Below are 15707 nucleotides of genomic sequence, written 5' to 3' on the forward strand. Positions count from 1 at the left end.
AACAGCTGCTATGAGCATTCCTGTTCAAGTTTTTGTGTAAGCATATGTTTTAATTTCTCTTGGATAACATCTAGGAATGAAATGGCTGGGTCATATGTTAGATGTATGTTTACCTTTTAAGGAAATATTTTGCTTTATTTTGTGAGAACTTACTTAACTCCCCTTGCATATCTAGATAAATAAGTATCAGATAAGGATACTAAATTTACCAGATTCTCTAGGTGGCAGGTGGGAAAAATCAGATAAGAATACTAAATTCACCTGATTCTCTAGGTGGCAGGTGGGAAAAATTCCTTATCTTCCCTCTCCATGGCCCACCTACTTTCATAGTTCATTGCTCGTCCAATTTGTTTGAGTTCTTAAAATAATTTCAACTTCCCCCCTTTATTTTTTCTATTGTTACCATCTCAGGGTTGGTTGGGTGCCTATTCTGTATTGGATATTGTGTTAGGCGCAGAAGGGGCACGTGGGACTTTGAGTTAAAGGGGCAGCAAAACCTTGTTCTGTTCTCTGGACTGAGTTGGACAGACCACAACTACGGATTATGCTTCAGGCAAAGTATGTGAGAACTCTTGAGGCAGCATTCCATTTACCTGACTCACATGCGAGAGAAAATATCCCACTTTTGTTTGAGTGTGGGCTTTAGTTATATATTTATTTTAATCAGGTGTGGCTGTTAAAGGAAAAGGAAGCAATCCGTGAAACAAACGGAAAAAAAAAGAGTAGGGGAGAGAAACAAGTCTTCCTTTAATAACGTATACCTTTCCTTTTGACCAGCAGGTCCCAAAGTGTGGTACCCAGACTAGTAGCACCAGTTTTCGCTGAGAACATGTTAGAAATGGGAACTGTCGCGCTACGCTCCAGACCTAACTGAATCGGAAACTCAGTTTCCGGGTTTGGGATCTGTGATTTAAAAAGCTCTCCAGGTGATTCTGATCCACGCTCAAGTTTGAGAACTGCTGTGCTAAACTCATTCCCAGGGTGTAGGTGGTCATCTTTAGACTTGGGTAACTGTGGGCGGTAGAGATAACGTTGCCGCAGCGCCCGTCCACCTCTCCCCATCCACGCTCCCAGCGCCTGCAACTCCTCTTTCACCCTTAGCCTAAACCCAGGTTCTGGGCTTCCCTTTCCCTCCCCTGGGAGCCGCAGGCAAAACGCGGCAAGTGGATTCAGAGTTTGCGGGCCCGGGTGCCGGCCGAGCATGCGCAGTGGCGCGAGCGCAGCGGCTACGCGGGCGCGGAGAGGTAGCCGCAGAGTGGACCTGCAGGTACTTGGATCTCCAGTGGGAGCTGCCCTCTCGAAGGCAGGACAGCGGTGGCGGCAGGTACGCGGGGGTGGGGATAGGGCCCAAAAGGAAGGCTGGACAGACAGATGGAAAGCGAAGCGTTACTCCTTTGGGGGCGCGCGGCGGCTCGGGGGCAGTATCTCCGGGTCCCCTCGCTCGCGTCTCGTCTCCTGGCTGTGCAGTGTGGCGCCCGCCGTCCTCTGGGCACGCTTCTGCCCAGTCCCGGCAGGCAGTGCCCGCAGGTGTTAAATCGCGTATTTACACTGCTTAAACAATAAGCCTGTTAACTGAATTGTGATTCTATGCAATGAAATAAGGTATTTCATTAAGTTTTCTTCTTTCAACTTTGGGTGGCTGCCGGTGAGGCTTTCTGAACCAGCCTGTTTTGTTTTAATTCTGGGACTGGTTTATTTGCCTTTGGCCTTTTGGTGCATAGGATCAATAGGGCTGTAGTGAAATCCCATCCGTGCTGTTTTTGGTACCTTTCCTGGAGCATAGGGACCTCTGGATGCGGCATAAAAATGTCAGTTTTCAGCGAATTTCACTGCCAAAAAACTTTCCGTGTTTCAGCTGCATTTTCAAGTGGAGACTTAAAAAAATTTAAGATTTCTCCCTAACTTTTCAATTATTACTGTATTTCGGTCTTCATTTGGTACTATTAAAAGGAAGCGGTCGTTTAGATGAGTAACAGAATTCTCACTTTTCCTCCTTTACTTACTTACTATGTCACATTTTATGGCTTATACCGTGATATCTTTCCCTCCAGCCACGGTGTTGGATACACTTGTATGAGGCTTCAGCTGTGCTGCATAAATTTCTTGAAGAACCTGTGAGCCAGAAGCAAAATTTCAGGACAGGGGGCACACACTGAACTTGAAGCAAGTACTTTTACACCCCCCACCACCTTTGTAATCAGCTTTCCTTTAAGTTGAATTATGTAATGAAATTCTATAGTAAAGTGTTAATGTGTAATGTGGAGGCATATATATATATAGAGAGAGAGGTAGTAAGTTTAGGAAGAGGAAATTTTAAGTTCAGGAAGAGAAACCTATATGGAAAGGGAATACAGGTATCCTGCCCCCCTTCATTCCTCCCATGATAAATGTTTTAATGGCAGAAATAATATACAGCTGGTCTAGTTTTGGCTGTAGAGACCTTTGAGGTCAGCCAGTTCAGCTGCTTCAGTTTACAAATGAGAAAACTGAGACCAGCGAGGTTAGATGACTTGCTGTGGCCACCCAAGCCCCTCATTGGCAAAGCTAGGCCTGGGATCCAGGTTTTCTCATTTTCTGGGGTCTTTTTACCACTCCCTGCAGATACTCTTCTTTACCTCCATTATTAAACTTCCTTTTTCTCTTCTACTTATACCATGAAGTCTGGCTTAAGCAGAAAATTAGTTGTTTCTCTTACTAAGCTTCCTAGTACCTCATAAATTCCTTTCAAAAAGTGCCCTTTCACTGAAGCCCCACCTAACAATTTGCTGGTCCTGAAAACGCCCTCCTTCCTTCCCTCAGTCACCTGGGCCCTTTGCCCAAAATGCCTGTTTGCCTCCCTCTTTCCGTATTGAAGTCCTGCTCATGCTGCAAGGTGTAGCTCAGGTGTGACCTCTTTTTGGAAGCCTTCCTTGATTGCCTTAGCATGAAGTAGCTCTCCCTCTTCTGAACCCTATAGCACTTACTACTGTTGTTTGTGCTGTTAGTATCCCCATTGTATATAGTATCCTGAGTATTTTAGCACCTCCCAACTTCCCGACCAGGAAGTTGGCAGGTTGTGTAAGCTCTTGGAGGTTAAAGCCTATGACTTAAACATCCCACCCAGCACTAAGCACAAAGTATATTCTTAGCCCCTGTTTGTGGGAGGGAGTGGGGGAAGGAAGTGCAGTATGTATAGTTTTGTAAAGAGATTTCATGTGTGTTCTATAATATGGGGAAGGCCATGTTAGAGCTGTATCAAGACAGCAGCCAAGTCCATTTCTGATTCCTCATATTTTGATAACAGATCACAGATTAGTTAGGGGGATTACAGGAGACAGGCGTAAAAACACGGGTCAGTTGGTCCAGGCCCTGGATTAAGCCTGTGACTCAAAGTGGAGAAAAGAGGGCACAGAATTAAGAAATGTAAAGGAAGAAGCATGTGGTGAAAGACTAAATGCAGAGAAGGAAAGACATGTTGAAAATGAATTTCAGGGTTGGGGTGTTAGTAATGGGTTTATAATGTTCTTTTTATCTTAAAAGTACCTCCAATTGGCTGGGTGTGGTGGCTCACGCCTGTAATCCCAGCACTTTGGGAGGCCGAGGTGGGTGGATCACAAGGTCAGGAGATTGAGACCATCCTGGCTAACACGGTGAAACCCCATCTCTACTAAAAATACAAAAAATTAGCTGGGGGGGCATGGTGGTGGGCGCCTGTAGTCCCAGCTACTTGGGAGGCTGAGGCAGGAGAATCGCATGAACCCGGGAGGCGGAGCTTGCAGTGAGCCAAGATTGTGCCACTGCACTCCAGCATGGGCGACAGTGCAAGACTGCATCTGAAAAAAAAAAAAAGTACCTCGAATTGTGACATTGTCTCTGTTTCTTAGTTAGTGATGTAATTGTCTTATTTCCCGTTCTAGATGATAAGCTCTCTGAAGGATGACCTTTAACCCTTCACAATACCTGGCACATTGCTTTGCAGTATCAGACACTCAATAGTTATTACATGAATGAATGAATAAATAAATAAATAAATAAATAAATAAATAAATAAAAAGTGCATTTTGCCATGGGGAGGGTGGGCATTTAGGATCTTAGAGCTATATGGTAGCGCTTTATCCAGACTATCCCCTAATTGTATAGAGGAGGGACTCAGATATTCTTTTTTTTTTTTTTTTTTTTTTTTGAGATGGAGTCTCGCTCTGTCGCCCAGGCTGGAGTGCAGTGGCGCAATCTCGGCTCACTGCAAGCTCCGCTTCCCAGGTTCACGCCATTCTCCTGCCTCAGCCTCCCGAGTAGCTGGGACTACAGGCGCCCGCCACCGCGCCCGGCTAATTTTTTGTATTTTTAGTAGAGACGGGGTTTCACCTTGTTAGCCAGGATGGTCTCGATCTCCTGACCTCATGATCCACCCGCCTCGGCCTCCCAAAGTGCTGGGATTACAGGCGTGAGCCACCGCGCCCGGCCAGATATTCTTAACTAAGCTAGTTAGTGGGATAGCCAGAAGCTCTGTTCAAATTTCCTCATTACTAGACCCAAGCTCTTTTCATTAACTATTACTTTTTGAGGTTGTTGGCCCCACGATTATTTTTATTTATTTATTTATTTTTTGAGACAGGGTCCCACTCTGTCACCCAGGCTGGAGTGCAGTGGCACGATCACTGCTCACTGCAGCCTTGACCTCCCCGGGCTCAAGTGATCCTTCCCACCTCAGCCTCCCAAGTAGCTGTGGCCACAGGCACGTGCCACCATGCGTGGCTAATTTTGTATTTTTTTGTGTTTAGAGATGGGGTCTCACTATTTTTCCCAGGCTGGTCTTGAATTCTTTGGCCTGCCTCAGCCTCCCAATGTGTTAGGATTACAGGCCTGAGCCACCATGCTCAGCCTCCCAAGATTAATTTGAGTTGGTAGCAAGACACTCCAGTTCAAGATGTTCTGTGGACTGAAAGCCCTCAGAAACCAATCTAAGGGGGAAATTTGGTGGTCGATGAGAGAATGTGTGTGTCATCGGAAGAGGTGAAACACAAGGCTGCTGGCCAGTTCAAGGTTGAGTGTACACAGTGAGGAGGGAGTGAGGCTGGGGTCCTAGGAATCTTCACACTGGGGAGTTGAAGTCTGGAAAGGTCATGGTAGCTTAGCTTGTCAGAGGCAGACACAAATGGGTTGGCCCAAAGTCCTTGGGACTGAGAGTCTATTTCCTAGATATATTGTACACTACCAGGAGGTGGTGAGCAATGGCTTTGGAGAGGGTAGGCCAGGTGCAGTGAGGGTAGGCCAGGAGGGTGGCACCAAAGGGTGGTGTTTATGACCCAAGAACATGGGGGTGAGGTAAGGCTGAGAGAGAGACAATTGTGATCAGATTCTACCTGGAAAAACAAGACAGAAAGCAGTGCTGCTGAATCCAAACTTCCAGTTCAAGAGGTGGTTTGGAATATTTGTTTACTTGGAACAGATGTTGCATTTTGCAAATCATAGCCATTTTGCAAATCAAAACACAGCCTTTCCATTGAGCTGCACACAGCGATGAGGGAGCTGTTGGATGCCACATCCTTGCCATTGACTTGCACACTGTGGTTGACCACCATCTTCATATTTCCACAGGCAACGATGGTCCATTAAAAATGTCAAGGAGAGAGAGAGCAGTTGAGAGGAGAGACAGAACAAATGAGCTTGAGAAATGGCTAGCAGTGGGGAAGGGAAGGGTTGGCCTGGTTTCATATATATATATATATATATATATATATATATATATATATTTTTTTTTTTTTTTTTTTTTTTTTGAGACGGAGTCTCGCTCTGTGGCCCAGGCGGGAGTGCAGTGGCGCAATCTCGGCTCACTGCAAGCTCCGCCTCCCGGGTTCACGCCATTCTCCTGCCTCAGCCTCCCGAGTAGCTGGGACTACAGGCACCCGCCACCACGCCCGGCTAATTTTTTTTTTATTTTTAGTAGAGACGGGGTTTCACTGTGTTAGCCAGGATGGTCTCGATCTCCTGACCTCGTGATCCGCCCGCCTTGGCCTCCCAAAGTGCTGGGATTACAAGCATGAGCCACCGCGCCCGGCCTATATTTTTTATATATATATGTTTTTCATGATGACGTTAGTGAAAATTGATTAGGCAGATGCAAAATCAGGTAGTATGTTGAAGTTAATGTCTCATACACTTAAATGTCCAAATATTAAATCCTAGAATTTACCATGGCCCTTTGTAAAATGACAAATATCTTTCTTAAAATAATAATAGTAATATTAGTAACTAGTATTACAGAATATCTTCCATGAACCAGGCACTATACTAAATACAAGTAATATATCATTTCATCTTTATAAACCATCCTGTGAGATAGGTGCAACAATTACTCATTTATTTTTAATTTTTATTTTTTAAAAACAGGGTTTCAGTCTGTCACCCAATCTGGAGTGGAATGGCACAGTCATAACTCACTGTAACCTTGAACTCCTGGGCTCAAGCAGTCCTCCCGCCTCAGCCTCCCAGGTGTGGACCAACGTGCCCGGCTTATTAAAAAAAATTTTTTTATAGTGATAAGGTCTTGCTATGTTGTCTAGGCTGATCTCAAACTTTTAGCCTCAAGCAATCCTCCCACCTCAGCTTCCCGAAGCCCTGAGATTACAGGCATGAACCACTGCACCTGACCTACCCTCATTTTCTAGATGAGAAAATTGAGGCTTAGAGAGATAGATAAAAGCATTTATCTGAGGTCATATAGTTTACAAGTGGCTGAGCTGAGATTTGACCCCAGGCCTATCTGACTTTATACACTGAGCGCTCAAATAACTTAATCAAATATCTTAACAAAAATGCAAAGCTCTTTCTGAGGTAACTCTAACAGATGCTTAGAATAGCCACAGGTTTCAGCTGGTGGAACCACCAACATTCTTTGAGCCACATTTAAAAAAACCAAAACAACAGTGGTAAATCGTTCCGGTTTTTTTTTTTTTTCATTCCACTTAGTCTTTATCTCCTTTTCTCTTGAAGCATTCCTAGAGAAAGGGACAGCAGCTTTTTCTCTGGGTACACCATTAAAGCCACTTCTGATCTGCTCCCACCCTCTTTTGGGGTGGAGCTGTGATTGGGGAGTGAGTTGGTGGTCATCCAGGGCGTGTCTGTGGAGTTGGCAATGGGAAACTGGGAAGCTCACCTTGTGTAGGAGCCTAAGAACTCTGGAGTGACCAGGTATAAGGATTTCTTTCCCTGGGGTGTCAGGATCCACTGCTGGAAGCTCCTGGAATATCTATGGATCATGACTCTAATCTTAGGCCTTTGAACTATGGCCATAAACCCCCAGGAAGAATCCAGGTGTGAACACATTCTCCCCCAATTTTTAAGATTGGGGAGTTGTGAAGTCCCTGTGGACTAATTGGAGGTGGGTGTGGATACCTCAGGAAAGGCCCCAGGTCAAAGACAAATAATTTAAAGGCCCCCCCCACCCCATAGGCCCCAGCTTTGACCTGTGAGAAAATGTGCTCCTCTCCCTCCTCTTGATGAACCTAATTACATAGAGAACTTACTCTCCTGGGAGTCTCAAAATGGAACTCAGCTGAGAGCGTGCTTCCCTCCCTTGCTGCCTGAGCTCTCTTTCCATTTCCTGGTTCTGCTTTACCTTCCCCTGAGTGGTTCTGTGTTCCCAGGATATGAAAGGCAGGGCCGCAGCTTCTGGCTTCACCGGGCTAATTTTTGTATTTTTAGTAGAGTCGGGGTTTCACCATGTTGGCCAGGCTGGTCGCCAACTCCTGACCTCAAGTGACTCGCCCGCCTCAGCCTCCCAAAGTGTTGAGGCTGAGGCCACCTCTGGCCCTCATTCTCTCAACATTCAAAAGCTTGTCACTTCATCCAGTTCCGAATTAACATTTTACTCTGGCTGATGATGAACGTCGGGGAGAAAGAGACATTTGTGCTGCATACGGGTTTATTGGTTATAAAATGGTTATACAATTTTGATTGCTGGAAACTTTGCTGACATGTAAGGTCACATGAGATGTGAGGCTGTTCAACTTTGATCATCTGATTTCTTTTTAGCACTGTGTCTGAAAGTGCCTATGTGCCGTTTTTGGTGAGACATATGTAGCATGGCTTCTGTAAAGGCACGTTGCTTTTTATTATAGTAATATTGTGGGCACAGAAAGGGTGAGGAGTTAGATGATTGGGAGAGTTTTTTCTTACTTAAAACACTTGTTTCATCAGAAAATATTTCCTAGCAGAGTTAGACATAGCTTTGTTCATAAAGTCCAGTGGTGAAGGGACTTCAGACTTTACGATAAACTAAATTTTATGATTGACTTTTGTGAGCAATTCACAGCTATAAAACTACGAGACTGGCTGGGCATGGTGGCTCACGCCTATAATCCCAGCACTTTGGGAGGCTGAGGCAGGTGGATCGCTTGAGCTCAAGAGTTCAACACCAGCCTGGGCAACATGGCAAAACATCGTCTCTACAAAAAAATTATCTGGGCATGGTGGCGCGTGCCTGTAGTCCCAGTTACTTAGGCTGAGGTGGGAGGATCATTTTGAGCCCAGGAGATTGAGGCTGCAGTGACCTGAGATTGTGCCACTGCACTTTAGCCTGGGTGACAAAGTGAAACCCTGCCTCAAAAAAAAAAAAAAATACCTACAAGAACATCTGGGTGATAACTCACTGCACACAGACATGCCTCCTTCAAAAGATCCAAGCTGACCACAAAAAAAAAGGAGAAACTGTCTTTTCTTGATAGTAAATTGGATGGAGACATTAGTAAGGTAGAAGGTGTCTGAGGGGCTTCTTCATGATAAAAAGCAAAAGGTTTTGGGGTGTCACTGACCCAAAATATTAGCAGAAATCAGATTTACTCTATTATTGAGGAACACAATACATTAAATTGTTTATAGATCCAGTTTCAAGAAAGAAGATGTTTATATTAAAAAAATGACAAAAGCTCCTTCAATTTTTTTGAGAACTAAGAAATAAGAGATTTTAGCAGTACTGCCAAAATAGAATTTGGATTTGAATTTAAGACACTGGTAAATGTGTGTGGAAGGATCGGTCTTGTTAATTACACCTTGGACCAAGGGCTGCTTGGAATGAATAAAAGAGGGGGAAAGGTTTAGACAAGTAGAATCTCTAGGTTGATATCAAGTTAGTATTTATAATCTTTGTAAATAAACCAAAACCTCTCAAAGACTCCTGCTGTCTCTTCCTGGAGAGCACTCTGAATTCTTTCCTGGCGGTCTCCCTTTTCCTTCCCCTCTCCCCAGGTTTAAGATCATTGGGACATCCTTTTGGTCAAGGAAATGTTTCTAAGAGTGACCTAGTTATTGGAATTTTAAGTGTTAATCAGGTCAGTGAGGTGCCATCTGTGAAACACAGCTCACCAAAACCCAATGTTTTTCATCAGAAGTTGTCATGGAAGTGAGTTGATTTTGGAAAAACAACAATAATAGCAATTTGCTTGATCCCTTTCTTATCCTCAAATAGCCAAATTAAATTCAAGATTATTGGCCAGGTGCAGTGGCTCACGCCTGTAATCCCAGCACTTTGGGAGGCCGAGGCAGGCGGATCACGAGGTCAGGATATTGAGACCATCCTGGCTAACATGGTGAAACCCCGTCTCTACTAAAAAATACAAATAATTAGCCAGGCGTGGTGGTGGGTGCCTGTAGTCCCAGCTACTCAGGAGACTGAGGCAGGAGAATGGCGTGAACCCGGGAGGCAGAGCTTGCAGTGAGCTGAGATCACGGCACTGCATCTCCAGCCTGGGCAGCAGAGCAAGACTCCGTCTCAAAAAAAAAAAAAAATTCAAGATTATTATCAGTGGAAAAAGGAAATCTGAAAATCTCTGAATGTTTAGTGGTCAATTAAAATGAGTCTTAGGGCAATTTAAAGTTTAGATACCTGAAACCAGTTGGCCTATGATCAGAACCATGGATGAGAAGTCAAAGTCTGTGATTCTGTTTCTGACCCCATGAGAAGGAAGGCCTTCTCTTCAGCTGTAGGTTTGATAATTAAACAAGATAGTGGATGTGAAAGTAACTAGTCAACTACAAGATAGAGGAAAGGCATTTATTGATGTTTAAAAAAGCTTTCTGATTTTACTTCCTTTCACTGATAAGTGGCCAAGACTTAGAGAATGACTTGCCTGCTGGAGGTTGCCTGATTTGAAACTGCCAGAAATTAAACTCATAACTGTGTCTTATAATTTCAACATTTGAAAAAATGTCAGGGTTAATTTTTTTGAGACAGAGTCTTGCTCCGTTGCTCAGGCTGGAGTGAGGGGCACAATCTTGGCTCACTGCAACCTTTCGCCTCCCGGGTTCAAGTGATTCTCCTGCTTCATCCTCCCCAGTAGCTGGGGTTACAGGCATGTGCCACCATGCCCAGCTAATTTTTGTATTTCTAGTAGAGACATGGTTTCTCCATGTTGTCCAGGCTGATCTCGAACTCCTGACCTCATGGGACTTCAGTCTAGCTCCAAATCTAGTGCTCTTGCAGTCAATTCATATTTTCTTCTGTTACTGACCATATGAAATAATTCCTCTATGAAATTTATGTGCAATTTTTATAAAAGTCTAAATGTATTTTATGGCTAACCCTCAACTATGGAGCATATTAACATTAAAATGAGTTCTTGAAATAAGAGTTGATTAACATGGGAAAATATCCATCTCTTTCATCTTGAACAAAGTAGTTTTGTTTTAAAACTTATACTTCCTGCTAATGTACATCTGGAATGTGTAGGATAAAAGATTAAACTTTCTAAATATTTTACAAAGTTATATTCTCCCTATGTGATATATATTGTTCTGTGGGAGACTAAGCCTTAATTGAAGTATTTCTGCAAGGTTACTATAAGCATTTCTCATACCACTAGGACAATAAATAATGGGAGAACCCAAAACATTGTAATTTTCTAGTAATTCAGAGGAAATAACTGAATCCTGAAACATTGTACAAAAGGGTACACAATGATACCCATTTTTGCATGTTAATGTATTATTAAATATCAGTGGGAATAGTCTGCATGCTATTTCACATCTCAGGCACACTTAAGGAAGACCTTGTGATGTGCATGTTGCTCATTTAATCTAGAAAGGATACCAAGATTCATTTAGAACTTCTTTATGCACAGTTTTTTTTTGAGTATGTTATGTCCTGAGGCATTAAGGGTATTACTAAAGCAAGCAGCGGGACTTCTCAGAGAAATTAAAGGTTTCATATCAACCACACGTTGTCAAAATCTTCACTTTGAATAGGATTAAATGATGTTTCATCAGTATTCTTGGCACACATGACATTGTTTTTAAAATAACAGTTTTATTACTCTTGGCTGTGACAGTTTCTCAGACTTTCCTTAATATCATACAATTCTCCAATTTAAACTGTATAGTCAGTTTTACAATATTTTAATTACCCTGTATTCATTAGCACTTTCCTCATTTTCTACTACCTCCTCCCCAGCTGCCCCTACCCTAGGCAATGCCAAATCTACTTTCTGTCTATATATTTGCCTATTCTTGAAATTTCAAATAAATGGAATCGTATAATATGTGGCCTTTTGCGTCTGGCTTATTTCACTTAGCACAATGATGTCAAGGTTCATTCATGTTGTAGCACATATCAAGACTTCTTTTCATAGGTGTGCATAATATGCCATTGTGTGGACATATCACATTTTATGTATTCATCCTTCAGTTCATAGACATTGGGGTTGTTTCTTCTTTTGGGCTATTATGAATATTGTTGCTGTGAACTTATGTGCACTGGTTTATTAGGGGCATTTATTTTCATTTCTCTGGGCATATACCTAGAAGTGGAATTGCTGGGTCATATCACTTAGCATTTCGAGGAACTGCCAAACCGTTTTCTGGAGCAGCTGCACCATTTTACATTCCTACCGGCAATGAATGGAAGTTCCTGTTTGTCCACATCCTCACCAGCACTTTATTATCTGTCTTTTAAATTATGGCCGTTTTAATACATGTGAAGTAAGTATCACATTGTAGTGACTTAAAAAAAAACCAATAGACTTTATCTTTTAGAACTGTTTCAAATTTACAAAGAAATGAAGCAGATGAAACAGTGCTCCCATATACTCCCACACTGACATACTGTTACCCTATTATTAACATATATATATATATTTTTTGAGACGGAGTCTCGCTTTGTCACCAGGCTGGAGTGCAGTGGTGCGATCTCGGCTCACTGCAACCTCTGCCTCCTGGGTTCAAGCGATTCTCCTGCCTCAGCCTCCTGAGTGGCTGGTACAGGCATGTGCCACCACGCCCAGCTAATTTTTGTATTTTTAGTAGAGACGGGTTTCACCATGTTGGCTAGGATGATCTTGATCTCTGGACCTCATGATCCACCCGCCTCGGCCTCCCAGAGTGCTGGGATTACAGGCGTGAGCCACTGCTCCCGGCCGTATTATTAACATCTTACATTAATTAGTATGACATGTTTGTTATAATTAATGAACTGATCTTGTTATATTATTATTAACTAAAGTCCTTAGCTTATTCATATTTCCTTTGTTTTTAGCCAAAATCCCTTTTCTGTTCCAGGATCCCATCCAGGATACCACATGACATTTAGTTACTGTGTCTCCTTAGGCTCCCCTTGGCTGTGACAGTTTCTCAGACTTTCCTTGTTTTTTGATGATCTTGAGAGTTTTGAGGAATAGCAATCAGGTACATTGTGGAATGCCTCTATGTTGGAATTTGTCTGAATTTTTTTTTTTTTATCATTAGCCTGTGGTGACATTGATTTTTAGTATTCAGGGCAACTTGATCAGAATTGGAAATCAGCAGAATGTGGTTGGTGGGAAATTATTTTAATTTATTTTTATTTTTAAAATTTATCCTATTTTATTTATTTTTAGAGACAGGGTCTGCCATGTTGCCCATGCTGGTCTCAAACTCCTGGGCTCAGGCAGTTCTCCTGCTTTGGCCTCCCAAACTGCTGGGATTATTATAGGCATGAGCCACCCACTATGCCTGGCTGGGAAACTCTTAGGAATTTTAAAAATTCAGTTGCCTCTGGAAGATGAGCAGACATTTAACTTAAGATATGTTTTCCTAACAAGAGCTTGATCACATTGGAAGATGATCAAATTCGGTAGTGGAGTTTATCTTCATGACTGTTATGAGACAGCATCTAACCTAAAGGTAAAGCCAAAGATACATTTTTCACTGCTTTAAGAGAATGTTGTTTTGCTTGTAATAAAACATAAAGTTAATAGAAATTCACATTAACTTTTAGAATTCCATAGTACTATGGCAGCAAGCATCCAATGTATATTGAGTACTTCCACCTACATCAATCCCAGTAATTCTCAAAATGCTTTGTGAAGGGAGTAGGAACTGAGGCTCAAAGAGGCTGTGTCATTTGGTCTGAGACTCACATAGCTTGTCAGTAGAAGAGATGAGATTTGAACTCAGGGCTGTGGAAGCCTATACTCTGCTGCCTGCCAGACTCCAGAGTTTCCAGTGGTTTTAAATCATGAATGTATCAAAGGACACAGGCTTGAGTCCTTATCTTACTGGATATTTTTACTGCCAGCCAAAGGAGATAGTATGTCTCTGTGTTTAAGGCCCCACTGAAATTGGTTGGTCCGGTTAACAGCATACCTGTTGACTGCTAACAAAGGGAAACTAAGCCAGCTTTGCCTGGGGCACTAATTCCTGCCACATGTCTTCTGAAAATGCAGCCTGAGGGTCATAAAGCAGGCAATGAGCTATGTGGGAGAACAACATTAGCTGAGTATGTTTGCCAGCAGTTACATTGCTCAATGTATGTCTTAGTTACTTCTCAAGTTTTTTCAATAAGTGAGTGTCAGAGAGGATTTAATTTTAAATATTTATCTTTAAATTGGAGTAGATGTGGTAATACTGTGTGAATGCACTTGAAATGGAATAATAAAGTTGCATAGATAGTTGTCTGAGGAAGGTTTGGAAAATTTCCCTGCTTATTCAGCTAATTTTTGTAAACTGCCCAAGATGATTGATCACAGATTAATACAAAGTTTCTTTCTATACTACCAAAATATCAGACTTTATGTATTAGTCAGGATAGAGTAGTCTGTGCTGCAGTAACAAATTAACTGTGACATCTCCATTACTGTCTTGCTCATGTAAATGTCAGTGTTTATTGGCTGTTCTCCAGGGCAGCTCACCTATATGCAATGACTCAGAAATCCAGGCTGCTGTGATTTTTGTGACTTTGCTTTCCTAACATGGGGCTTTCAAGTGGTCCCACCAGAGGAAGGGGAACTGGATGATCACGTACAGCTCTGAAATGCTTTGGCCTAGAGTGACAAATATCACTTTGACTCACAGCCTGTTGGCTAGAACTAAGCTCATCACCCTGCTTAATAGCAAGGGCCTAGAAATAAGAGGGAGCACATAGGTATTCAGTGAACAATAAATGTCTTTTGCATCCCTGGTTTTAGAGCAACAGAAGCAGTTAAATCGTTTGCCAAAGTCTCTTCTGTAGAGATAGAAAAGTGGACTGAATATTTAGTGATAATTACTTGATAAAAAATTGTAAGTGAATTTTGCCGTAAACTATTAACATTTGCAATAATTTATGTATAGCTGATTTAGCAACCTGATTTCCATTTGTGGATATGGTTATACCTTCTAAGGGTATAACAATAAAGTTAGCTTCTTTTACATTATAATACTTCAGCTGATGGTGCTGATGATCAAAGCTTGTATGTATGTATGTATTTATTTTGAGATGGAGTCTTGCTCTTTCGCGCAGGCTGGAGTGCAGTGGTGCCATCTTGTCTCACTGCAATCTCCACCTCCCTGGTTCAAACGATTCTCCTGCCTCAGCCTCGCGAGTAGCTGGGATTACAGGCACAGGCCACCATACCCAGCTAATTTTTGTATTTTTAGTAGAGCTGGGGTTTCACCATGTTGGCCAAGCTGATCTCGAATTCCTGACCTCAGTTGATCCATCCGCCTCGGCCTCCCACAAAGCTTGTATTTATTAAGTATCTCCTATGTGCCAGGTACTCTAAGTGTTTTATATGAATTACGTTAATTTAGATTGGGCAGTGCAGTTTCATCTCTATGGTAAATATTCTCCAGTTCCATCAACTTGCCTTGTTTGAATGGTGCCTAGATTAGACCCATCACCGTGCAGATAGCTCCCCTCTAGAAACCAGATTGTCACTAAATTACCTTAAAAATAATGCTCCGTAGGTTGAATGTGACACTGTGGATATTGTCTAACTAGCACAGAGTACAGTAAGATCTAACATTTACTGTGATTCGGATCATACTTAAATATAGCAGCTTAAGACTTTGTAAACCTTTTAAGCAGCCATATCTAAAAATAAGCTTAAGGTGAACTAAGCCCATAGGATGTTTTTTTAATATAATTTTTTCCCAAATGAATTTTCCTGTGTTTTTGTGATTCTAATATTGTCTTAAAATGGATATATTTGATGAATGTAGAATTCTCTTGTTAGTTTGTCCTTTTGATGTCCCCTTTCCCTACTCTCTTCAGTGTGGCCTCAAATTCCACCATTAGAATGATAGGATGACAAAGACTCTCGCTGGGCCACACAGACTGGGGCAGTCCTCTCTTACTCAGTTTTCAAAAAGGCTCTTGGTTGTTTGAGCACAACTATCTTTACCACATATGAGGAGCCCCATCTCAGGCTTTTCATGTTGATTCCACATTCATTCATCAAAAAGCTGAACACAATTTTGGGCCCAGGCACTGAGCTAGG

General features: G+C 42.3%; 1 protein-coding gene and 1 long non-coding RNA gene across 7 annotated transcripts in view, besides 1 other annotated feature; one reads left to right on the plus strand and one right to left on the minus strand.

Moving 5' to 3' along the window:
- Positions 1-723: 723 nt before the first annotated feature.
- The window catches only part of PLS1-AS1 (PLS1 antisense RNA 1), a 60902-nt gene continuing 45918 nt past the window's right edge, over positions 724-15707 (minus strand). The window contains exons 3-4 of the long non-coding RNA XR_001740938.2: positions 5343-5561; positions 724-2112 (exon numbers count right to left, since the gene is read on the minus strand). This is a non-coding gene — a long non-coding RNA (PLS1 antisense RNA 1). The remainder of the gene's footprint in view (positions 2113-5342; positions 5562-15707) is intronic.
- The window catches only part of PLS1 (plastin 1), a 117272-nt gene continuing 102772 nt past the window's right edge, over positions 1208-15707 (plus strand). For 5 of the 6 annotated variants that reach the window (XM_047448323.1, XM_047448324.1, XM_011512901.2 and 2 more), the window contains exon 1: positions 1208-1324. The gene's annotated coding sequence lies outside the window, so the exon portion shown is untranslated. Of the gene's footprint in view, positions 1325-2051; positions 2164-15707 lie in introns of all 6 variants that reach the window. The other variant, XM_011512903.3, reaches the window with a different exon arrangement.
- Positions 1264-1503: an enhancer, noted in NCBI's record as "active region_20645". NCBI's record gives its function as "activates an Ori minimal core promoter by ATAC-STARR-seq in GM12878 lymphoblastoid cells {active_cell/tissue: GM12878}" and the evidence as "EXISTENCE:reporter gene assay evidence [ECO:0000049][PMID:35858748]".

The sequence above is a fragment of the Homo sapiens genome, chromosome 3, assembly GCF_000001405.40.
Source record: "Homo sapiens chromosome 3, GRCh38.p14 Primary Assembly".
Classification (NCBI taxonomy): Eukaryota; Metazoa; Chordata; class Mammalia; order Primates; family Hominidae; genus Homo; species Homo sapiens.